Source organism: Homo sapiens, chromosome 12 (assembly GCF_000001405.40).
Source record: "Homo sapiens chromosome 12, GRCh38.p14 Primary Assembly".
Lineage (NCBI taxonomy): Eukaryota > Metazoa > Chordata > Mammalia > Primates > Hominidae > Homo > Homo sapiens.
The window spans coordinates 53,707,698-53,731,621 of NC_000012.12; the positions used below are offsets into that span (position 1 = coordinate 53,707,698).

Sequence of the window (23,924 nt, forward strand, 5' to 3'; positions counted from 1 at the left end):
CCCCAAGTTGCTGGGATTACAGGTGTGAGCCACTGTACCTAGCCAATTCCTATTTTGTTCATGCAGCTTCTCCAATATCTAGAACAGCACCTGACACATAGTGGACACTCAATTAATACTTGTTGAGTGAATGTATGAATAAATGTCAGCAGTTCACCTTTCCAGCCTCACTTCCCACACTGGGTTAAGATCCTCACTTGGCAGCCCTACCTGAGTGTATAGACTTCTGAGTAAGTTGTCTTCGCATATTTTGTTCTTTCTGCCTGCACATGCTTGGCTCACGTCTACCCCACATTATCACCTGTGGGAAGCTCTGCCTTCCCCAGTCTTCGTTAAGTATCTGCCTCTCTGTGGTCCCATAGCATGCTGTGCATACCTCTAAAGTAGCATTTATCTTGTTTCCTTGTATCTGGTGATTTATGTCAACTAAGAGCTCTTTGAGGGTGGGGTTTTTCACTATTCTATCTCCATTCCCCGGCACCTGACCCATACAGAGCACTCTACAAGTATCCTGATTTAATAGAAACATCTCTATCCCCCAGCCTGACCAATATGGTGAAACCTTGTCTCTACTAAAAATACAAAAATTAGCCAGGGATGGTGGCGTGTGCCTGTAATCCCAGCTACTCAGGAGGCTGAGGCAGGAGAATCGCTCGAACCTGGGAGGCGGAGGTTGCAGTGAGCTGAGATCGCACCATTGCACTCCAGGCTGGGCGACAGAGCGAGACTGTTTCAAAAAAAAAAAAAAAAAAAGAAAAGAAACACCTCTATCCCAAATGACATCATATTTTGTTCTTTGAAGCAACACATGGCACTTCATTTAATGGTATTGGTAATATTTATTTGAAGCTAGTTGGTGAGCTCAATGATGTTCACTTTATTATTCATTACATATATTATTTTGTATGTATAAAACATTTCATTAAAATAACTTAAAGATTATTTCTGGAGGACTGGTCCTATGTTCCAGTCTCTATACTAGATTTTAGGAACACAGTGATGTATAAGCATAGAATCTGCCTTCAAGTTGCTTACAGTTTAGGGAGAATAAAAAGTTGTAAACACATGTAGCATCTTTTTATAAAGTGCTCTACGTGGTATGTCAAAGGATAACTGAGGGCAGTCAAGTAAGGCTCCATGTAGGTGGTATCCTTTGAGCTAGGAGGAAAGTAGTGTATGTTTTTGTGGAATGGTTCTGTTATACTGGAGTACAGGGTTCCTTAGGGTAGATGGGAAATGGAAGGGCAAGTTGGGACAGATGGTGAAGACCCTGACTGGCACACTAAGCAATCTACATTTCTCATTCCTGTAGGTAACAGGTGGCCATTGAGGTTCGATAAGTGGGGGAGTGGTGTGTTTGGATTCGTTCTTTCACCACCAAATACTGACGCGAGTTCCTATTTGCTGCTACTTGGCTGACATCTCCTTTCACATTAGAGTCTCAAGCCCATTCAGATCTATCGGCTTTTGCATGGATGCTGGGGAGCAGGGAGGAAAGGGATGATCCATTATAGAAGAGAAATAAGTAGAAAGGCTGAGTTGCCAAATACCCCTCAGTGAGTAGGAAAGAGAACTAGAATTGGAAGCTGGCTGCCCCTGGGTTTCCCCCAGCCCATGCCGTCAATTACCCTTCCTTGAGCCCCCTCTGTGTCGGGGACCATGCTTTGGATACTGGGATAGGCAAACCATGAGTAAGGAAGAGAAATGGCCCCACATTTTGTGGCACCCCCAGTCTGAAACTGCAAATTGCATGCCAGAAAGACACACAAAGGGCAGAGAAAGGAGCAGCTAGAAACTCTAGATATCCATGTTGAGGAGCCTGGTGGGGGGTTGGGGGGCTTCATGGAGGAGGGGAGTATGAAGCAGATTCGGGACAGTGAAGCAGAACAGGGCTGGAGAGAAAGGAAGGAGGTGAGAAGGACCCATGTGAAGTTTTCGAGGTTGGAAAGAACAAAACCTATACCGCAGTCCTCTTAAGTGCTTTTAGTCTGACAGTGTCTGTATCAGTGGCCTTGTGCAGCTAGCCATGTGGCTCCTGTGGGTGTATGTGCGGCTTGGCAGGGGCTGTGGCATGGGAGCAGGGGCCTGGGTTCCTGTTTGTCTACTATTCTCCTTTTTTGCACAAGGCAGCCACTCACTGGAAGCCAGGAGGTGTGGGTCCCAGATTCTTCTCGCCCCAACCTCCCCCAGAAAATAAATCACACATGATTTCATTAAATGCACCTCCTGCTGGGGATGTTGGCTCATAATTCCTCTCTGATTAACCCCCACTACCCCGGCAAGTTTATAGGCCAAGAGAGGGAGAGGGAGAGGGGGGAAGGTAAAAGGAGGGATGGGGGGAATCCCAGGCGGGTGATGGATGCCTCTGTCAGCCCAGCTCGTATTTATTAATAGTCTTAATACGGGAAGCAATAAAGGAAGAGAGGGATTCTATTAATTAAATCATTGTTATAATTAACTTTCATTAAAGGAGGATCAATAAAGAGGGGTTGGGATGGAGAGAGGAGAGATCCATTATCTCTAATTTCCTTGGAAGGGATTCAGGGAACGGGATGGGGTTGCTAGGAGACGGAGACGTGAGGGAAGAAGGAACGATGTAAGAAGTCATCCAGGTGGGGCTGGAAAGGGGGTGGACAGGAGCATTTCAGGTGAATGGAGAAAGGGAATGGTGGGGGTGGTCCACACAGGGGCCCTGAAGGGAGAGGAGGGCAGCTGAGAAGGGAGCTATTGGGTTGGAGGACGAGGGGGTTGTAGGCATGTGCTTGTGCAGGCCATTGCTGAGAGCCTTGGTGAGCGTGCAGGTCCTTAACAAATGCTTTACGATGCTGTGTATGTGTCTGTCTAGCCTGTGAAGCTGGTTAGAGTGGATGAATGTGTTTTTGTGACTGTTGAGGCAGAGTGTGCATACAGGTATGAGGGGATGGCAACAGAGAAAGAAACAGAAACAGAAACAGGAGGAATATAAAATCGCCTTTAGAGGTATGAGGCTTAGGGCATTTTTTACTAAGTAGATACTCAAAGGTGTACGCTCTTGACAGGAATAAAGCCTGTCCTTTGGCATAAGGTACAGTGATGGCTGCTATGAAGGGTGAAGTTCTCGGCAGTGGGAAACTTGTCCCACTTTTCCATGGCATGCACCCACCCTGGGACTAAACCCTGAGCAGAAGTGACAGGGACCCATGAGTTTGCTCCCTCCCCAACTGCCGCATTATCCAAGCCAGACTCCCACTTGAGACAACCCACTCATGGCCAGCACACCAGGAGGCACGACAGGACAGTAACTGCCCAGCATCCCCTGCCATGAGGCAGGGATGCGTCCCCTCTTTCCCTCCTCCCTCCACCAGGGTCTAAGAGCTGGAGGTCTGGGCCCTGTGTTCCAGTCACACCTCATGATAAGAACACATTTTGTGACAACAGTCATACATATCATATAAATATATTTGTTCAAACTACAAAGGGATGGATATCAGGGGGAAGCTTTTATTGCTGTGGGGGGACCTGGAGAGGGAGGGGGGCCTTGGAAATGGGGATACCTGGGACCACTTGTTCCCCCCATTCCTCACAGAAGGCACAAATACATTATTTCTTTCCATGTGAGGAGATGCGAGGAGAGGATACAGAATACAGGAATCCTCAAAAATACAAAAAACCCCTCCAAACTGAATACCTAAGGTTATGGAAAAGGCTAGGGTGGGGCACAGAAGTCAATGGGGGAACAGAAAGAGGAACCAATGAAACTGAGAACCAAAAGGGACCTGAGAGGCCATGATGTCCATGCTGCTGCCTCTGTGCAGACCCCAGAGAAAACTCAGGTAAACCAACGGAAACTCCAAATAAGAGAGGGTAGGGTGCCCCAGGAATTGGCTTTGGGGCATCAGACAAGGGAGTGTGAGTGTGAGTGTGTGTGTGCAGTGGCTGTGTATCAGAAGCAACCAGGGCTAGGAGTGGACGATTCTATTCCCACAGGGGAAGGCCTCCTCCATCCCGGTTCCTCCAAAACCACTTTCAGGGGATAAATTCAGCCACTGCTTCCGAACAGGACCCCTCCCTGGGACAAAAGAGCCAGGTAGGAGAGGATGAAGTGAGAAATCTTGGGATGAAAACAGGGCACACAGAAGCAGTTCTTAGGGAACAGAATATCATGGAGCCCAGTGTGATAGAAAATGGGCATGAAACCTAAGTGTATGCATGTGTGTGAGTGTGTGTGTGCATGAGTGTGTATTTGTGCATGTACGAGGGAGTAAGATCACTCAAAGGTGAAGGGGTCCTGGGTGCTGAAAAAGAAGTGTCCATCCATGTGGTCCTCCAGGGCATCCTTGTCACTCTCAGCAGGAAAGCGCTCCTTACAGATAGGACACTCCTTCCATGTGGGGGTGGCAGGGCCCCCAGTGCTGGTTTCTGACAGGGTACCCACTGTAAAGCCACTAAGAGAGACAGAGGGGAAAGGGAGAGGGTCGGCGTGCTCTGTTCCCTTCTTGACTTGCAGACTTCGGAGAGCAGGACCCATGTGCCTGGGTTCCCAGGTTATCCTGTGCCTAATGCAGCATCCTGGCCTCTCCCACAGCGTCTTTCTCCCCACAATCCTGGAAGGCTTATTTTTCCAGTTCCCCATGTCCTCTCTTCTTTAGTCCCTGCTGGTCTCTGCAGTGCAGAGCCCATCCCCCAGCCTCCTGCTCTCCTCCCTCCATCTCCGTCTGCTGCCTAATGAGGCTGAAAATGAGTCTGACATCGTCCTTCATCTTCCTGCTCCAGCCGAGAAGGATGACAGCATCACCCCCTCCCTGCCCTGAGCCCATCTCACATCCAGGCAAAACCGGGACTAGATGATCAAATCTCTCTTCCCTGTGCCTGCCCCCTTGAACCTGGGAATAAAAGGGAAGGCAGAAGGGGACAATCTGATACCTGAAACCCCCACCTCTATAGGTTCCCTTCCCTAAGGGTTACCCAGGGAAGTCAGGGAAGAGGGAAAGCATTTCAGTTGTAGCCAGATGGATGCTGGATCCCAGTCTTCTCTCTGCTCCTATCCCTGGGGGCCATGGTCACCTCCCTTCCTCCCCGGAGGACCCTAGGTACCTACCTGGTGGTTGGGGAAGGGGTAGAGGCAGGAGAGAGGGGAAGCAGGGCAATTTGGGCTCTGCAGAAGATGGTGCTAGAACAACATAGAAGCCAGTTAAAGGCAGGACCTCTGAGTGCATTGATAAGATAGGGGTAGGGATTACCTGAAGGCATCTGGGATTTGGAGCAGTGAGTCATTTTCCTTGTTAACCATACCTGTATCTCCTTTTCTTGGCTGAGGCCAAGAAGGGCAGGGGTTGGGAGCAGGGCCTGGTGACTGTCCACACAGATGCCCTTTCCCTCTGACCTCCTCCCACCTCCCTCCTGGCCTTGCTGGTTGAACTCACCTGGCCATGTCATAGAAGGCACTGCCCAGTTCAGGAAGCAGTAAGTTGGCCTCCTCACCCCCACTCTGCACAGCTGCCATCAGGACTGACTTCTCATCTTCAGCCTCCTGGATGCCAAAGAGACAGGGTTGGGCTTTGGGGTGGTGTCCCAAGATGGGGGAGCAGCACATTGGGACAGGTATGGGAAGAGCAGCCAAGGCTAGGACAGTGACCTGAGGGGCTTAGGAAGAGTGAGGCAGGAGAGGCGTTTTGAGGGGCTGGTGAATAATAAGAGAATGACTGTGGGGGAGAAGCAGTGAGGCTATTGGGCTGGTCTGGGTTTTGGGATGATATCTACTGGTGTGGCACTGAAGAGAGGCTGGGCCTGCCTCCTCTCCCCTGGGAAAAAGAGAGCCCTGGATAGCTAAGATTCCTTCTCTAATTAGCCGGGGGTGCCTGCCTGTGGTCCCAGCTACTCTTGGGAGACTGAGGTGGGAGGATCGCTTCAGCCCAGGAGGCAGAGGCTGCAGTGAGCCAAGATCGTGCTGCACTCCAGGCTGGGACACTTGGGTTTGGCCCTGCCCCTCCTTACTGCTTCTGCACAGGCTCCTCCACTGCTCACCGAGTCAGAGCTACTGTCCTCAGCTGGCCCAGAGAGGTGAGGAGAAATGGGAGCCGGCTGGCTGATGACAACAAGGGGAGAAGCCTCTCGAGGCCCAGCAGGAGAGGAGCCTGGGTCTCCACGCTCACAAAGGCCATAGGGTGGGAGCCTCATGTCTTCTGGGGACTCGTCCTCTGAGTCTGTCAGAGCTGCCGGGCAGCCTGTAGGAGATGAAGCAGGCAGAGAAGAAAAAAGGATGTGTTGTGAGGAGTTGGACCAGCTGTCTCCTCTGGATGAGGGGTATCATTAGACTAAACAGGGGCCAGGGTCTGGGAAAGAAAAGGCAAAACACATAGAAGGCAAAGGCAGCTCCCAGCAAGGTTACATGGAGCCTTCCTCAACAGCGGGAGGTAGAGTGGGGAAGAGGTGTTACAAGATTGGGGCTACACGGACTCAGCCCCACAGCGGCCTCCTCATCCTCTGTGGTGGCATCCTCATTCCACTTCTCATCTGCCACCTTCTCCAGGCGGGCCTCTAGCTTTCTCATGTACTCTAGCAATTCCTGGAATTGGGAAGGAAAAAGGCAGGTGCTAGAGAATGGGAAGGTGCCAACCTTGCTAGCCTGCAGAAGCTGCACCCAAGAAGAACTCTTAGCTCCTCAGCATTAGATGCCTTCAGCAAAGATTGGGGCAACTTCAGGCAGACACTCCCCCCAGCACCCCTGCTTCACCACTTACATCCCTCCCTTCTCCCAGAGATCATCCGCTGTCCTGCCAAATCAGCTAATAAGAGAAGCCAGGGTACGGGCCCTCTTGGAGAGAACAGTTTCTAAGCCAAGAGATGACAGGAATTTACAAAGTTTCTAGCCCTCAAGTCCTCACCTGTGGCATCCACGGGGCCTGGGTTATGGGTGCTCACCTGTTTCTCCTCCTGTAACTGCTCCTTTTCCTTCTGGAGCACACGCAGGGCTGACCGCAGCTCTGTCAGCTCCCGCTTACTTTCTGACAACTGTACCTGAGGGAAGAGGGCCCAATGGAATCTGGAGCCTAGAATGTACCTCCAAGAACCTGGACTCTGGGACCAGGACCAACAATCTAGAACCAGGTCTCCCCATGCCTCTGCTTCTTCCCTGCTCTGACACACACACACAGGAATTCCCAACACTTCCTCCATGAGTACTTTGTCTTGGGCCACAGATACTCAGTTTTCTAAGTCTTAGTCTCTGCCTCTCGAGTGGGGACCTGCATGACTTCCTCTAGGCTGGGGTGCAGAGGCCTTGGTCATACCAAGGGGCCACTCTATAATTCTCCTAAGTCACCTCTACTGGGCCCAGATGTGTGCCCTGAGAGCAGAAAAAAATGCACATTTCAAACCAATGAGGGCTTGCGTGTGCAAGTGAAATGCCACCCAACATGGTAGTGGACACCTAGCACTTCTGAGCCCATACCCAAGACAGAGAGAAGGGGTATGGATGCCTCAGGAGGCCATAGGACAGGACCCTTGGTGGCTGGATGCCTCACCAGGCTAGAATCCTTCTCCCGGGCCAGCTCAGTCTTGAACACTTGGTTTTGGGTCCTCTCCTCCTGAACTGCCTTCTCCAATCGAAGTATCTCTGCACTCAGCTTCAGGATCTTGTCCTTCTCTGCCTGAGAGATAGCCAAGAAGGAAAATGGGAGGGTGGAGGGGGAAGAAAAAGGAACGCCACTGTCAACAGCACCATCCCTTACTGTGTCCTTTCCTTTATTTAAAGCATCATTTTTAGAGCACTTTCCCCTTTTTGCCTTCATTTCCTATACCCTCTGAATGAAGGACAGGACATGACGGCAGGTGCTGCTTGATCAGGAATGGGCATTATGGCAGGGCCTGGGGTCTAGGACAGAAAATGTTTCTGTTCCAAGGAAGGTACTCTGGTGATCAGGATTGGGATACCCCGGTTAGGGATGGGTCATGCCTAGAAAGTAAAGTGTACCTCCCTCAAAGCCCCTCTCCACCCAAGTCCTCTAAGGTTCTCAACCCCTCTTCTCTCCTCCCAGAGGGTCTGACCACATGTAGGAGTCCCCACAGAGGTGGGGGCAGTGGCCATCAGATTGCCAGGTACCCCCCATCCCTCTACCTCCACACTCTGCAGCAGCCCTGCCCGCTCCTTGCTCCATTGGCATTTTTCTTCCTTCAAGTGCAAACCGAGCTCAGCCAGCCTGCCGTTAACTTCAGCCACTTCCAGGCGGCTGCGGTGTAGTTCGGCTATGGTGCGGTCCCTGGCTGCTGCTGCACTGGCCAACTCCTCCCCAAGAAGGGTGGCTTTCTGCTGGCTTGAGGCTGCAAGCTCCTGGGCCCCTCGAAGCTGCTCCTTCAAGGGCTCCAGCTCGGCCTCAGGAGAAAGGAGGAGATGGAGATCAGAGTTCCTAGTGAATCATTCATCAGCCAGGGAGGTAAACGCTCCCTCCACTCCACTGCATTAGGACTCGGGGTTGTGTTGTTTAGTCTTTAGCCATGTCTCTCCCCTTCTCTTTAGACACGCAGGCTTCTCTACAACTTGCCCTTGGAATTTCCCGTTTCCTGTTGCCAAGGGGCCTCACTCACCACCCGCTGCTGGGCCTGGCCTAGGGTGTCCTTCATCTGGGCCACCTTGTCTTTCAGTCGCTGAGCCTGAGCACTCTGCTCCTCTTGCCAGCTCTTCGCCTCCTTCAGGTCCAAATTTAAGTGATGGTTCTCCTGTTGTGCCACTTGGAGCTCAGCCTGAGGGAAGTGGAAAGCAGGTAAGGAAAGGGGTATGTGTGTTGGGGTGGCTCGGGAGGTGAACCATTGTGATGAGAGAGGTCAAGGTTCCACTTCTCAGATTTAACACACACTCAAGCCTTCAGCTATTGCCAGCCCTTCTTGGGTTCTCAGCTCAAATAACTCAATCCTGCATATCCAGTCTCCAGCTCCCAAATTGAGGTATCCAGCATCGCAGCCTTGGGTCTTCTGTGTAGGCATTCCATGTACCATTTCTGCTACTCTATTCTTTCTCTTAAATCAAAACTCAGTCTTCATGCCCTACAGGCCCCTTAAACTCAACAGTCTACCTCTCACCCCATCCCAGTCTTTCCTACTCTTATTTCCGTCCAGGGTACCAACTAGCTCCCACGTTACTCAGGATGGAGTAACCTGGTGCCCTTGGTGCCATGCTTGGCTCTGTCCTCTCCCTAGCGGCCCACAGAAAAACCTATTGCTTCTCCATCCTGGTCACAGCCATTTTCCCTTCTCTATTACCACCACAACCACGTTATCTCAGACTCTGGTCATTTCTTGCTTGGACTACTGAATAACTTCATAAATAGTTCATTCTCCACAAGGGAATCAGATTATTCTTCTTTAGGTACAGTTCTGATTCTTTAAATACAGTTATTTTCTTTTTTAGAGATAGGGTCTGGCTCTGTCGCCAAGACTGGAGTGAAGTAGCATGGTCACAGCTCACTGCAGCCTCCAACTCCTGGGCTTAAGCAATTGTCTCAACTCAGCCTCCCCAGTAGCTGGGATTATAGGTGTGTGCCACCACGCCTGCCTAATTTTTGTATTTTTTTGTAGAGATGAGACAGGGTCTCACTATGTTGCCCAGGCTTGTCTTGAACTCCTGAGCTCGAGGGATCCTCCTGCCTTCACCTCCCAAAATGTTGGGATTACAGGCGTGGGCCACTACACCTGGCCATAAGTACAGTACACGTCACCCCTGCTTGAAAAATCATCAAAGCCTTTCACGCTTGTGGAATAAAAATGAAGCTCAAGATCCACCACAGTCTAACCTAGGCCTTATCTCAAACACTTCACCCGCACATTCAACTGCCCTGAGTGTTCTGGCCTTTAAGCCTTTGCTCACGTCTTTCTCTGTTCCTAGAATAGCCTCACACTCATCTCTGTCTACTCATATTCTACCTATTCTCACTGCTGAGCAAAGGGTTTTTTAACAATCTTCCACATAAACCCAGGGTACTGAAGAAGGGATTTAGGAGTTCTGCAGATACTTGATTTGAATGTCTTCTAAATTATTAACAATTATGTTAAAAAAAGAAAAACAACACAAGGCCAGGTGCAGTGGCTCATGCCTGCAATCTCGGCATGATTTGGGAGGCCGAGGTGGGCGGATCACCTGAGGTCAGAAGTTCCAGACCAGCCTGGCCAACATGGTGAAACCCCATCTCTACTAAAAATACAAAAAATTAGCTGGGCGTGGTGGCGGGTGCCTGTAATCCCAGCTACTCAGGAGGCTGAGACAGAAGAATCTCTTGAACCCGGAAGGCAGAAGTTGCAGTGAGCCGAGATCGCGCCACTGCACTCCAGCCTGGGCAACAAGATGAAACTCCGTCTCAAAACAAACAAACAAAACAAATAAAACCCATAAAATCACAAGTTAACACACTGGAGATCACCAATTGACATATGTTTCCAGGTTAATTCATTTTTTTGCAAAGCTCAGAATAGTTTCTACTGTATTTTCTATTGAATTGAAGAGTAAACTGAGTTGCAAGGTGGACAGTTTAAAAATTGTTATTTGCACCTACTTGTGTGTGACTCAAGGTGTTCTTGATATTGTACAACCAAAATAAAATACGGAAATACATTAGTTGCTGAGGCTGGCAGAACAGTCTTCGATAGCCTCTCATTTCAAAGTTTGGTATGCCTCAAAATTACCTAAGTGCTTTCATTACCTTTTAAGTAAAGGTTATACATTCAAATTTATAAAAATAAATTTATAGTAATAAAACATTGTTTTTGTTTATTCAGTGAGATTCCACACAAGATTAAAAACTTTATTGGTGGGAGGAGAGGAAAGGGTTCTGCTAAAAAGGTTTGAAAGTACTAGGCCCCACACCCCACCCCTTTTTTTTCTGAGACAGAATCTTGCTCTGTCACCCAGGCTGAAGTTCAGGGGTGCGATCACAGCACACTGCAGCCTTGACCTCCTGGGCTCAAGCAATCCTTCCACCTCAGCTTCCTGAGTAGCTGGGACTACAGGTGCATGCCACCATGCCTGGCTAATTTTTAAAATTTTTTGTAGAGATGGGGTCTCACTACGTTGCCCAGGCTGGTTTTGAACCCCTGGGCTTGAACAATCCTCTCGCCTTGGCCTCCCAAAGTGTTATGATCACAGGTGTGAGCTACCACGCCCAGCCATGGCCCTCCCTTTTTTTTTTTTTTTTTTTTTTTTTGGCACAGAGTCTCACTCTGTTGCCCAGGCTGGAGAGCCGTAGTGTGATCTAGGCTCACTGCAATTTCTGCCTCCCGGGTTCAAGTGATTCTCCTGCCTCAGCCTCCTGAGTAGCTGGGATTACAGGCACCTGACACCACACCTGGCTAATTTTTGTATTTTTAGTAGAGATGGGGTTTCACCATGTTGGCCAGGCTGGTCTTGAACTGACCTCAGGGGATCCGCCTGCCTCTGCCTCCCAAAGTGCTGGGATTACAGGCATGAGCCACTGTGCCTGGCCTCCACACCCATTTTAAAAAGACTTTTCTAATGTCTCTAACAAGATGTGTACTCATACACCTCCCTGGAGCTCCACAATACTTTATTAGATTTCTCTTGAGGCCAGGCGCAGTGGCTCACACCTGTAATCCCAGCAATTTGGGAAGCTGAGGTGGGTGGATCACTTGAGGTCAAGAGTTCGAGACCAGCCTGCCCAACATGGTGAAACCCTGTCTCTACTAAAAATACAAAAGTTAGCTGGGCATGGTGGCACATGGCTGTAATCCCCGCTGCTCAGGTAACTGAGACGTGAGAGTTGCTTGAACCCAGGAGGCAGAGGTTGCACTGAGCTAAGATCGTACCACTGCACTTCAGCACAGGAGACAAAGTAAGACTCTGTCTCCAAAAAACAAACAAAAAAAATTTCTCTTGTGACACTCTTATATTCCACTTTTCCACTCTGACTAATCCTGATTTAGGTATATGTCTTATGTTCCCTAGTAGAGTGCACACAATGTCTTCTTTACATTTTTATTCCCTTTGGTGTCTGGCTCTCGAGAGGGAATCAAACACTGGCTGGACAATGGAGAAAGCAAATCAACTCTGAGCCCCTTACCTCACTTTGCTCCTTGTCTGCTTGTACTTCTTTCAGTTGCCCAAGGAGCTTCTCTTGTTCCCGAGTCAGGGCCTTCACTGTGTCTCTAAGCCTGTGATTGGTGGGATGACATGTCAGACAATCTGCTCCACCCAGAGAAGGAATGGACTCAGGCCTCTGTCTTGTGCTCTGCTGCTGCTGCTCTAGGCCCAGAGCTCCATTTCACTCTGGGATGCATAAATCCCCAAGCCAGCTGATCCAGTTCTAAGCCCCAGGAAACCAAGATTCCAGGTTCTAGAGAACAATTTAGACAGAAATAGTTTTTCTTATCTTTTTGTGTAATATTTTAAGGAATGTTTTGCTGATGGCTCCCATTGTTTTCACTCAATCAAGAGACTAGAATCTAGTCTTTTTGAGACAAGGGCAGTCATTATTGATTATAAACTTTTGATCTAGACCAGAAGTTGGCAGACTCTTTCTGTAAAGGGCCTGATAGTAAAGATTTTATGCTTTGCAGTCCATGTGGTCTCTGTGGCAACTACTCAACTCTGCCATTGTAGTGCAGGACCATCCATTGACAGTATGTAAACGAATGAGCATGATGTTTCAATAAAACTTGAACACAGATTTGAAGTTCATACAACTTTCACATGTCACAAAATATTCTTCTTTTAATTTGTTCTTAACCATTAAAAGATGTAAAAACTATTCTTACCTGTGGGATATACAACAGGTGGCAGGCTAGATTTGGCTTGTGGGCCATAGTTGTTGACCTCTGGTCTAGATAGCCCCTAATCTTTTCCAGATGCTCAATCTGACCACTGCTTTTCTAACCTATGACTTAGAATGTAGACATCTAATATCTCCCTAGGGTGAGACTAACATATCCTGAAGAAGCCTCTCAGACGAACTCACTTATTACTTTGGGCCTTGGATAGAATGCCTCTTTCTTTTAAACAGTTTTTTAAAATATCACACCTACCAGTAGTAAATGAAACATAATTTTGTCATTTAATGAAATAAGGAACTAGAGTGTTTAAACTGGTGAAAATTTGAAGGATGGACATGGGAGGTGGTGGTTAATATTTATGCTACTTGGTAGAGAAAACAATTTTCTGGAAGAAGAAAGAAATTTATTCTGTGTGGCTCCAGAGGTCTCAGGACCCCCTGGTAAGTTATAGGAGAGGAGAGTTTGGCTCAATACAAGAGATACAAAAATGACAGCTGTCAAATGTTAAAGAGGCTGCCTCCTGAGGGTGACCTCTTACATACCCTCATACATATCTTACAATCCCAGTGCTAAGAGTTTATGATTTGCATCTTTTTTTTCCAGGGCAGAGATTCCATAACATTCCTGGATCACCAGTTATAATGTTTCTTAATAGTAAGAACACAGTCTAATCTTATCTTTCCTGTGGCCACATCTGAAATCCATCCTCTCTTATCTTGCACTGACTTCCATCCATTCTCTTCTTCCAAATCCTCCACTCCTAGCTCTTGCTCAGCTTTTGCTGTACAATAAGTGGTAACTATGATTATTTCTGAAGTGGAGGAATACAGAATAGCATTTGGAAAGATGGTAGAGAGCTCGGCAGAAAAGGGTATCCCCAGTAACTAGCTTGAGTGAGGGTGAGAGGGAAAGAGAAAGCGTGTGAGGCAGACAGCAGGTCTGCTTGCCTGAGAGAGGGGGCTGGAGTGCGGGGGTCATGGAAGGGAGAGGAAGTGACGGGGTCAGTGGACTCCCCTCACCTGTCCAGCTCCACTTCCTTCGTCAGCACTTTCTCACTGATGGTCTGGATGTCATCCTCTAGCTCCAGGATGCGTGCCACATGGTCTCCCTGTTGCCGGCTCAGGATGTCCCTCTCTTCTGTGATCTCCCCATGGGACCGGGAAATCCCCTGAAATTAAGTTTCCCCCAGAAGAAAAGGGAGGTTGGGACTCATCTCTCAAGTGGTGGAACAAAGGCTTAGGAAGAGCACACCAGGGTCTGACTGCTTCCACCTGGCTATCACATTGCCTTCCTTGAAAAAGAAACTGTAAGGGAACATTCCCTTACCTATCAACGTGGCCACCTCCACCTTACCCCAGCATTCCTATGTTCAAAGAACTGAGTCTCATTACACGTTTGGAACATGTCTCTTGTCACATCAAGTTTAATCCCAGCCACTACCCCTTAAACCTATTTCCTTGATGCCAGAACCATTGTAAAAGCCCACTAACATCTCTCCTTCACCCTCTTCACTGGGTTCAGATTTTGGATGCTGGGTGAGCAGCCAGGCCCTGTCCCCTACCTGGCCCAGCTCCCACCTTGTACTGTTCCATCAGCTCCGTGTGCTCCTGCCTGGCAGTTGCCAGAGCCCTCTCGAGCTCCTGCACTCGGCTCCTCAGCTCTGTCACCTGTCCCTCCAGCTGTAGCTTCAGCTGCATCAGGTCATTCCGTTCTTGCTGGCTCTCATCGAGCTGGTTCTACAGGCAGCAGAAGGAGAAGGGGAGTGTGCTGGTGGAGTACCCCTTCTAAGGTCCCATCCTCACCACTCTCCAGGTGCATTTTGGGTTTGGGAAGTTACATAGCTTTGGGTTATAAAGAGGTGAGGAAGGGGATGCTCAGTGTGCTACCGAATCCCGTCCACCACCCAGTCAGATGCACCAGCTCATGGCACTCTGAATTGCCCATCTCTCTTACCCCTCCCCACTCTAGGCCTGGCCCTTTCCTCATCCAGCAATTGCAGGAATCCCTCATGTGGCACAAGTCAATGAACACAGACACAAGGGATGGGTCCCCTAATTTTACCCTATCTGCTCTGGAGTTGGACAGACTTGGGTTCAAATCTTCAGTGCAATTTTTACTAGCTATGTGATTTTTTTTAAAGATAGGGTCTCACTGTGTTGCCCAGGCTGGAGTGCAGTGGCTAGCCATAGGTGCAACCATAGCATACCATACCTCAAACTCCTGGCCTCAAGCCATCCTTCCACCTCAGTGTCTCCCCCAGTAGCTGGGACTACAGATGCATGCCACTACACCCAGCTAGCTATGTGATTTTGAACAAGCTTCTTAACTTCTCTAAGTCTCTGTGTCCTCATCTGTAACATGATCCCTTAGTCTGAATTGTTGTAAGGCTCAAATGAGAATCACGATTGTGAAACCGCAACAGAGAGTAGGAGCTCACACATCTTTCACTTACGTGAGATATAAACATCTTCCTGGGTGACAGAGCAAGGCTGTCTCAAAAAAAAAAAAAAAAAAGAAAAGAAAAGAAAAGAAAAACCCAAAAAACAAACAAAAAAACCCCAAACAGTATCATTTCAACATGTAGTCAAAATAAAAATTATTGAAGTCTTTTACATTCTCTTTAAAAAATACTAAGTCTTCAAAATCTGGAGTATATTTTACCCTTATAGTACATCTCAGTTTGGATTAATTGCATTTGAAGTGCTCAAGAGCCATATATAGTTAAGAGCCTTTGGTATTGGACAGTACAGGTCTGGGGCCTTGCCTATCTGCTCTCACTCCCCACTCGTCCTAGAAGCAGGTCCTGTGCTCCCCTTTCTCTGAATGTTCCCTGGAGTAGCCTCTCTCCACCCTTTGATCTTCCTCTAGGGCATAGGGCAGGATGCAGTGCATGGAGAAGGAAGGCTGCAAAAGTTCTTATGAAATCCTGAGTTACACTGGCCTGTGGGTGGTCTCCTTTCCTGCCTTACATGTTCGTGTATGTCTATGTTAGACTGAGACTCTCCTGGAGGCAGGACTTTGTCTAACTTTCAACGAGGTCTTTAGTTGGCGCCACAGATGAGGGGAGGGTAAGGTGGGAAGGGTCCTCTTGCAATGCTGTCTCCCACTCCCTTGTCTGGGAATAACTCTGTTGCTCTTTTCTCACCTGTAACACAGTTGCCTTGGGGACAACCAGCAGGATGTCAGAGCCCCCATCAGCCTCCTCCAGGGTCACCAGTTCATCCATGGGCCTTGGCTCTCGGAACTGGAAAGGGGGGCTCTGCCCACACACCTGGCCCTGGCGGTTCACATATCGGAACTGGTAGAGCTGAGCTCCTGGTTTGGGCAGGTAGCTGGCTGTGGGAAGAAGAATGGACCCAGGACCCCAATAATCCACTGTCCTTGGCCCCAGCCCCTTGCTCGGTGTTCCATATACTGTTTCTTCTCTTCTCCACCTCCCACAGGCCATACTCTTCTCCCTCCTTTCTGCCTGTCCCTCTCCTTCCTTTCTTTCCCAAACCCACTGCCCCTCTATCATAATCATAATAATGCTAGTTACCATGTAGTGAGTGCGTACCATGTACCAGACACTGTGGTAACACTTTTTATTTTATTTTATCTTGAGACAGAGTCTTGCTCCATCGCCCAGGCTGGAGTGCAGTGGCGCGATCTTGGCTTGTTGCAACCTCTGCCTCCCGGGTTCAAGAGATTCTCCTGCCTCAGCCTTGTGAGTAGCTGGGACTACAGGCATGCACCACCACGCCTGGCCTGCAGCTTTCATTTTAAATCCTCGTAATGTCCCTATAAGCCAGGCATCCCCTTTTACTGTTAAGATAACCGACACAGGGAGGTTATGTAATTTGCCCAAGGCCAAACAGCTTGTAAGTGTTAGAGGTGAGATTTGAACCCAGGTCTTTCCCTCTTCTCACCACATAATTCTACCTTTCCCTCTTCCTTACTCCCCCATTTTTCCTTCTTTGGGTAGGACAGGGGACTAGATGCCCTCTGAAGTTCCTTCTGTTTCTATGTCCCTGATTCTGCGATAATCCCGTGATTCTCTATCCGCTGAGCGCTGTTGGATATATTCTCATTATATTTATTTTCGTTTATTTTTCCTTGTCCTTTGTGCCTAACTTTTAATGTTTCTGAGCCCACTACCTTCTTTCAAACCTCCACTCCCTTGGCTCCTCTCTCCCAATTTTCCATCTTCCCTTGTACCTTGGAACTGGACACTGGTGTGAATGGGGGAACCATCAGTTGTACTTTCAGGCACGGAAGACCACACAAATGTGTGGTAATCCCGAACACAGGCAGCCTCCACCTGTGAAAGCCCAAGGTTGGAGAAAGGTATGGTCATGGAACTACCTTCTATGGATGGAAGAAAGGGCTGAGGGGTTGAATAAGGGGGGCAGGATGGAGCTACAGTGGCAACAATGACAAGAGAAAGGGAAAGTGGAGGGACACTAATGTGTCAGTAAAGAACAAGGCTAAGATGGAGAAAATATGTGCTTTGGTTATACAGGCGGCCTCTGTCATCTGTGACATCTTTCTCTCTTCTTCTCTATCAACCTGAGGTTGAGAATCCAAGAGCCCAATCATTCCCCTTATTCCAACCAACTCACAGCCCATAAACCTAAGCCAAAAGGGGTTCCAGAGATACCTTGAAGATGCCAATCCAGTCACTGGCACTGGGCATGGTGCCTGGGGGAAGGGTGTAGTGACATTCCACCTTGGTGTTGGGGATGTAGGTCCGGGCTACATTGAGAAAGTTGACTCCACCACGGGATGGTGCCCGGCTTAGTGGTGATTCTTCCATCCTGGCCTTGAGATATCTGTCCTCCTATGAAAGAAAGGGTTGATAGCCTAAAGTCTTTCCAGTCCACCTCCTTCCCCCCACAGCTCCAGCACCACACACTCACAGCCCCTGCCACTACACCTGGAGATAAGGCATACCTGGTTTCTAGTCCCTGAGGGTTACGGGACATTTTTGAGGTATCACTCTTAGTCTCTAGGACGTAGGTCTGGCCTTCCAAGTCCGTCCCCATCCTGTCTCACACTGTACCCGCTCTGGCTCATAGACCCTTCTGAGGGTTCAGACTTCTCTAATTTTGCTCCCAAAAGGACACTGACGGGGACAGAGCCTGGGATACTGCGACTTGGTCGACAGCCTCCATTTCTCCATCCCATCTCCCACACATCCTGGCTCTTGAATACAAAATCCAACTGAGGTGTGGGGCCCTCTCATTGAGAGAGGTGTCCTTACCTACTCCTAAGCTTGTTGACCCAGCTGTATCCAGGAATGAGTTATGACATCAGAAAGCAGCAACTAATCTCTGAAAGGAATGGTTGAGTTTTCAGAGCTAGAATATGGCTGGGGGTCGAGGGGAACTGAGCCCAAATCCTTAGGCTCCTGAGCTCTCAGCTCTTTTCATCTCTCTGAGCTGCCTACCCCCATGAATTCTAGGGAAGCAGAAAGCTTCTGCTGGCATCCAAGAGACAAAGGGAAGGGGAGGATATAAGGAAAGACAGGTTCTGTCCCTTGACTTATTATTCCAGGAAGTCAAGAATTCTGGAGGCGGCAACTTCAAGGGTGGAGTGAGGCGCTTAGCAGGAACGTGGTGGGGGTGGGGAGATGGAATGTGGGGGCCTGGAGCCAGGAAAGCCCCACCCCAGGGCAGGGAACAGACTAGAAAGTGGGAAGTAAGGGGCCCCAAGAAGTGGAAATGTATATTTAACGTTGAGGAAAGGGGAGATAGTTCAAAAAGAACCTAACATTCTTCTCTCCAGACTGTGCCTGCAGCAGGACTAGAAACCTACTGGTTTCACTTTAGTATTTCTCTCCTCATTTTCTCTCTGCTCCCCTCAGCCTCCATCCTTCCATCTGTTTGTATTGGTAGCTGGAGACACACTACAGGATGGGGTTGAGAGGAAGGGGTGTTCCAAGTTAGCTGGGGAGAGTTAATTGGAAAATATGAGGGTGGGGTGAGGACAGATAACAATAATAACGATCAAAAGAACTCCTCAGTCCAGGGCTGTGAGATGGCCCTCTTATTCATCACTCCTTTCCAGCCCACTAATCTATTTCCTGTGTCACTCACAGCTGACATGTCCAACCAGCCATTGTCACTAGTCATATGCACGCCCCCAAACATCACAAACCCACACCAGGCTGAAGTCCAGGGGACAGGAACTTTAAAAGAAAACAGAAACTCAGTGGATAAAGGTGAGCCAGCAACACAAAAAGGAGCAACTTCTGTCCCCCAAATAGGTAGAACAAAAAGTTTTTTTTAATGTTCATCTCCCTGAAAAATTCCTGGTTGAAACTAATCCATGTTTTCTCCAAATGCAATTCTTCCAGCTTTCTAAGGGTGGGGGTAAATTGTCCCCAAAGATATACCTGGAGAACCCTAAAATACACCCCACAAAGAAAATCCGTAACAGCTGTAAACGTTCTTCATGTCCGAAAGAAAGTTTTGGGCACCTAAGATGTAGGTGTGTAGCCTGATTCAGATGTTCACATGATGGGGCGGAGAGCGGGTGTCCCATCCCCTACTCTGTAGGGCTCTAGAGTTCCTTGACATTCTACACCTTGGAAGGTCCCCCTTCCTCCCCAGGGATTCAGCGTCGTAAAGGCCTTTGGATTTGCGTAGGGGAGAGAGGGAAGACGTGTAGGGGACACGTCTTGCCTGGGAGCGAATAAGCAGATTTCAGCTCCCTTGAAGGGATCAGCTTTATAGAGACGCATTGAGAAGAAGGAGAGGACGACGAGGGGGCGCCCCCCACCCCCAATCAGAGTCCCCTTGAAACCAAGAACTCCCCAAACAGCGGGGGTGGCTTCTCCAGTACGGAAAGGGTTACAACCCAAACGCTCCTGTATTCCCCTTCGACAGTTCCCTTACGTTATCCTTCCCCAAACTGGAAAGTGGGGTGACCCTCCCCTCCCATAAGATCGCCCCCAATTAGGCCAAGTTTCTTACCCAACAGACGGATCAGCTGTTCCCCTCACCTTTCACCAACAACAAAAACAGCACTCCGACTTCTGGAGGGGAGGGAGAAGAGTGGGCGCGAGGGCTTCTGGGGTTTGTGGTTCTTCTGCGCCCTTTTGCCGCTGCGTGCTCGGATCTAGGACTATACATCCCAGAAGGCTGCGCGCAAGGAGGGCGGGGAAGAGGGCGTCCGTGACGGCGGCCTCACCGCGGCATCCTGGGAGGCGTAGTTCTCACTCCTATGACAGAAAACGAGGGTGTGGCCAGCAAAGGACTTCAAGGCCCATGATCCCTTAGGAGGGGGCCGGCTGCATTAGGGGTGGCTGCTGGTTTGTAACGTGCGTTGTTGGGGGCTGGGGAGGATTTACGGCTCTAAAGCCTTCCATATAACGCTTTAACGGTGGGCAGAGCGGTTTCTGTTGCGTCCCGTCCTGTACTTTTCGCACCCACCTGTGAGATAGGCGTTAAGCGTTATGCACGCTTTATAGATGTAGAAAGTGAAGTACGGTTAAGGAGGCGGTGTGAAGTGTCAAAGCTATGAAATGTAGAACTGCATTAGCCTTGGCTAATTCCACGTCATATATTCTTGCCACTACACCACAGCTACCCACCATTTTGGGGATGGGAAACTGATAGCTGGGGTATAGCAGTTTCTTCTTTACTTCAATCTCAGGGACAGACCTTGTAAGAATGATGTCTTCTGCACAGCTGACCATTTTTTTCCAACTTGAGGATTTCAGTGCTAAGGGGCCTGACCATATCCACATCTGGACTGGGCTCCCCCAGAGTGGCTTCTGGGTCTAGGAAGAGGATACAATTGACTGAGGTGGTGGTAGGAGCGGTGGAATGAGAAGAATGAAATTGAAAAGGGAGCTTGGCATAATTCAGGACCTGTCACAATTCACAAACAAGCCACTTATGGGGCCTGTTTGCCCAAGCCTTTTAAGTGGCTTAAATTAATTAGGATAACAATACATGTTGACGTTCCGGTTTTTATTTAGGAGAGGTGAAAGATTGACACGTCTCCCACACCCCAAGTCACGTTATAGACTTGGGCATCCTGTCCCCCCTCTCGCTATTCTCCATCCCTGTAGTCGGAGGCATTCAGAATTACCTCTTTCTCTGGCTCTGCATTAAAGGATTACAGTCTTAAGGATTGATTTCCTCTTCCTAGGTGCCTGCTTTAATTCTCTACTGCACTAAGTTATGGAGCTTCTGCCTTTTCCAAGTTTTTTGGTAGTGTTTTGCTTTTATGACTGAATGCGGTGTCTGCCCTCAGTGTCTTTCATCTGAAGATCTCCAGGCACTTAAAAATTAGTTACTGGGCTGCACAAACATTAAGGTGATGTGTCTGTGTCATTAGTCAGGATTTATGAGTTAGGGAACCAGTTTCTGGATGAGGAGGTAGCTCAAGGTCTGGAGTGGGTTAAGAGTGAGGTCTGTTCAAGGACCCAAGTCTCAAGAGTTCTTGGCTCTTGTCTTCCGCCCAAAATAAAGGTCTACGAGAAAACAGTCTCGGAGCTAAAAATGGTAACAACTTCCATTTCTTGGGTGCTTATGATCTGTTCAAACTATGCTAAGAATTTTCCCATTTAATACAACAGGCTTATGTAATACGCCTTGTTATTATCCCCATTTTACACATGATGAGATTGAGGCACAATTAATGACTTGCCTGGAGTCATCCAGCTAGTGAGTGGCAGAATCAAGATTTAAGCACAAGCAGTCACCATACTCCCAGTCCAGAAACTCTGGCATGTGATACTAACTCCCATTGTTCTAAGGAACAGTGCTGGTTCATTAACAGGAGACAAATGTTCACTGAGCATTTATGTGCTCAGTGCAAGGCACAAAGTAATGTGAAACAGATTCATTCAACAAATATGTGGCAGGTACTATGCTAGGTATTCAGTTACTTTTATTGAAAGAATGAATAGTAAATATTCATTATTTTAAAATAATATATGTAATTCATTATTTTAAAATAATAAATGTAATTCATTATTTTAATTATAGTCATTACTTTCAAATATTCAAGTATTTGAAGGATAGATTAAATTTGGATAGTTTGGCAAGATGGGGACTGGGGAGGGTAAGCTTCTTCTAGGCCAAAGCAAAGATTTGGAGGTGGGAATGGATAATGAGCCTAGAGTCACATAATAGCACATCAATTTCAACCTTTATTTATGTATTTAGGCAAACTCAGATTATTGGTAATGTCTGCCTGAAATGTTGTGTTGAGGATTCTGAGGAAAGAGTGCTGGGTAGTAATGTCTGCCATGTACTCCAGATGGAAAATGGCAGTTGTAGTGGATGGACTAATTGTTTGAAATTATTTCCTCTCTCATTCCTGCCCACTGCCATGTGACTTGCAGTATCTCCTGTAGAAGGAATAGATGTCTCATGTCATTGACTTTGGGCTTTGTCATGTTTCATAATTTGGCTGATGGGATGTGAACAGATGTGACTCATGCCATGTTTGAACACATGAGTTTCCACTTTCTTGTTCTTCTCTGCCACTAGAATGGGAATAATCCACATGAGAGTTGCTCCTTCTGCCTGGGCCTGGGAATGAGAAGACCTGTGGAGCTGAGCTACTGCTTACCCACAACCTGCATATACATAAATCAGAAGCCAGCACTGGTTGTTGTGAGTCGCTTAGATTTTGGGGTAGGTTGTGATTGCAGCAAAGCTGAATAAAAGCTACAGTTGGAGGCCAGGCGTGGTAGCTTGCTCCTGTAATCCCAGCACTTTGGGAGGCCAAGGTGGGCGGATCACTTGAGGTCAGGAGTTCAAGACCAGCCTGGCCAACTGGTGAAACCCCATCTCTACCAAAAATACAAAAATTAGCCAGGTATGGTGGCGCGTGCCTGTAATCCCGGCTACTTGGGAGGCTGAGGCAGGAGAATCGCTTGAACCCAGGAGGCAGAGGTTGCAGTGAGCCAGAATGGTACCACTGTTCTCCAGCCTGGGCAACAGAGTGACACTCTGTCTCAAAAAACAAAACAAACAACAACAACAACAACAACAACAACAAAAAGAAGCTACAGTTGGATAATTGGATAATGGAAGATAAAATTGGAAAGACAGACTTAAGCCAGAGTATAGAGAGTTTTGAATGTCAAGTGAGCCAGAGCCTATGTGTTTATCAGAACCTGTTTCTTTCTTTTTCTTGGACACACAGCTGTACCACATTTTTTTATTTTTTTATTTTTATTTTTTATTTTTTTATTTTTTTGAGACGGAGTCTTGCTCTGTCGCCCAGGCTGGAGTGCAGTGGCGCCATCTCAGCTCACTGCAAGCTCCGCCTCCCAGGTTCATGCCGTTCTCCTGCCTCAGCCTCCCAAGTAGCTGAGACTACAGGTGCCCGTCACCACACCTGGCTAATTTTTTTGTATTTTTGGTAGAGACGGGGTTTCACCGTGTTAGCCAGGATGGTCTCGATCTCCTGACCTCGTGATCCGCCCGCTTCGGCCTCCCAAAGTGCTGGGATTACAGGCAAGAGTCACCGCGCCCGGCCTAGCTATACCACATTTTTAAGCTTCTCCTTTAATTAATGTGTTCCATTTTCAAGTCTGGCCCATAAAACCCTCCAAAAAAGTTCCTTCCTATTTTTTTTCCTGTCTAGCTTGATGAAGATGACCTTAGGCACAGTGACCCTGAAGGCCACATGTTAAAGACAGTGGAGCCACAGGATGGAAGGAAGCTGGTTCCCTGAATCATCACGTGGCAGAGAGCGGACCACTAATCAGGATCATGTGTTTCAGATTTCACTTGACCAATAAATCAATTTCAATTTTGTTACACTGCTAAAATGGGTTTATTTTTTATAGTAGCTACTGTTTTCCTCATCAATACATCATGTACAAAGGTTTGGACTTCACTCCCATCAGGAATGGGAAGTTAGTCACTGAAGATTTTTTGAAAAAGGGGAATAATACTGTGAAGACAGGTGGAAGTTACAGTTATTGGGATCAAAGAATATTTCTGAGTGAGAGTGGGAGATTTGGGGACTGTTGTTTTTTTTTTAAGAATATAGTTTAACTCGTCTGGGGAAGGGAGATGACTGCCATGATTGTCGAAGGGCTCCGTAGAACTTGGGAAGGAGCTGCTGAAAAGTGAATCCATTTCCCTGAAATGTTGTCTCTTTTCTCTTTTGCAAAAGTCCTAATTCTGGTATTGCCTCATGTAGTTCGGTGCCCACCACAT

General features: G+C 48.1%; 1 protein-coding gene and 1 long non-coding RNA gene across 14 annotated transcripts, besides 2 other annotated features; one reads left to right on the plus strand and one right to left on the minus strand.

Annotated features, from left to right (window-relative positions):
- Positions 1–819: 819 nt before the first annotated feature.
- On the minus strand, positions 820–19,755 carry CALCOCO1 (calcium binding and coiled-coil domain 1). 7 transcript variants are annotated; one of them, XM_011538602.2, is made up of 17 exons: positions 19,707–19,755; positions 17,993–18,062; positions 17,390–17,569; positions 16,948–17,050; positions 15,896–16,086; positions 14,328–14,486; positions 13,770–13,918; positions 12,042–12,132; positions 8,563–8,718; positions 8,096–8,350; positions 7,503–7,628; positions 6,901–6,996; positions 6,436–6,544; positions 6,004–6,203; positions 5,403–5,509; positions 5,078–5,149; positions 820–4,424 (listed from the first exon to the last, which is right to left on the minus strand). In XM_011538602.2, the coding sequence occupies exons 3-17, from the start codon at positions 17,543–17,545 to the stop codon at positions 4,247–4,249; spliced, it is 2,148 nt and encodes a 715-aa protein (XP_011536904.1). In that variant the 5' UTR covers positions 17,546–17,569; positions 17,993–18,062; positions 19,707–19,755; the 3' UTR covers positions 820–4,246. The 7 variants fall into 7 exon arrangements, 6 of the variants coding, with proteins under 6 accessions (XP_011536904.1, XP_011536906.1, XP_011536905.1 ...); XM_011538604.3 differs by having other exon boundaries at positions 18,547–19,755; XM_011538603.3 differs by having other exon boundaries at positions 18,503–19,755.
- Positions 17,331–18,530: an enhancer, noted in NCBI's record as "CDK7 strongly-dependent group 2 enhancer chr12:54118812-54120011 (GRCh37/hg19 assembly coordinates)". NCBI's record gives its function as "activates an origin of replication core promoter dependent on BRD2, BRD4, P300/CBP, MED14 and CDK7 cofactors, with strong dependence on CDK7, by STARR-seq in HCT116 cells {active_cell/tissue: HCT116}" and the evidence as "EXISTENCE:reporter gene assay evidence [ECO:0000049][PMID:35650434]".
- Positions 18,882–23,530, plus strand: LOC105369774 (uncharacterized). 7 transcript variants are annotated; one of them, XR_944968.3, is made up of 4 exons: positions 19,970–20,053; positions 21,213–21,245; positions 22,239–22,385; positions 23,344–23,530. It is a non-coding gene; the product is annotated as an uncharacterized LOC105369774 (long non-coding RNA). The 7 variants fall into 7 exon arrangements; XR_944971.3 differs by having other exon boundaries at positions 20,045–20,115; XR_944970.3 differs by lacking the exon at positions 19,970–20,053 and adding an exon at positions 20,067–20,356.
- Positions 19,848–19,907: an enhancer, noted in NCBI's record as "active region_6428". NCBI's record gives its function as "activates an Ori minimal core promoter by ATAC-STARR-seq in GM12878 lymphoblastoid cells {active_cell/tissue: GM12878}" and the evidence as "EXISTENCE:reporter gene assay evidence [ECO:0000049][PMID:35858748]".
- Positions 23,531–23,924: the final 394 nt, after the last annotated feature.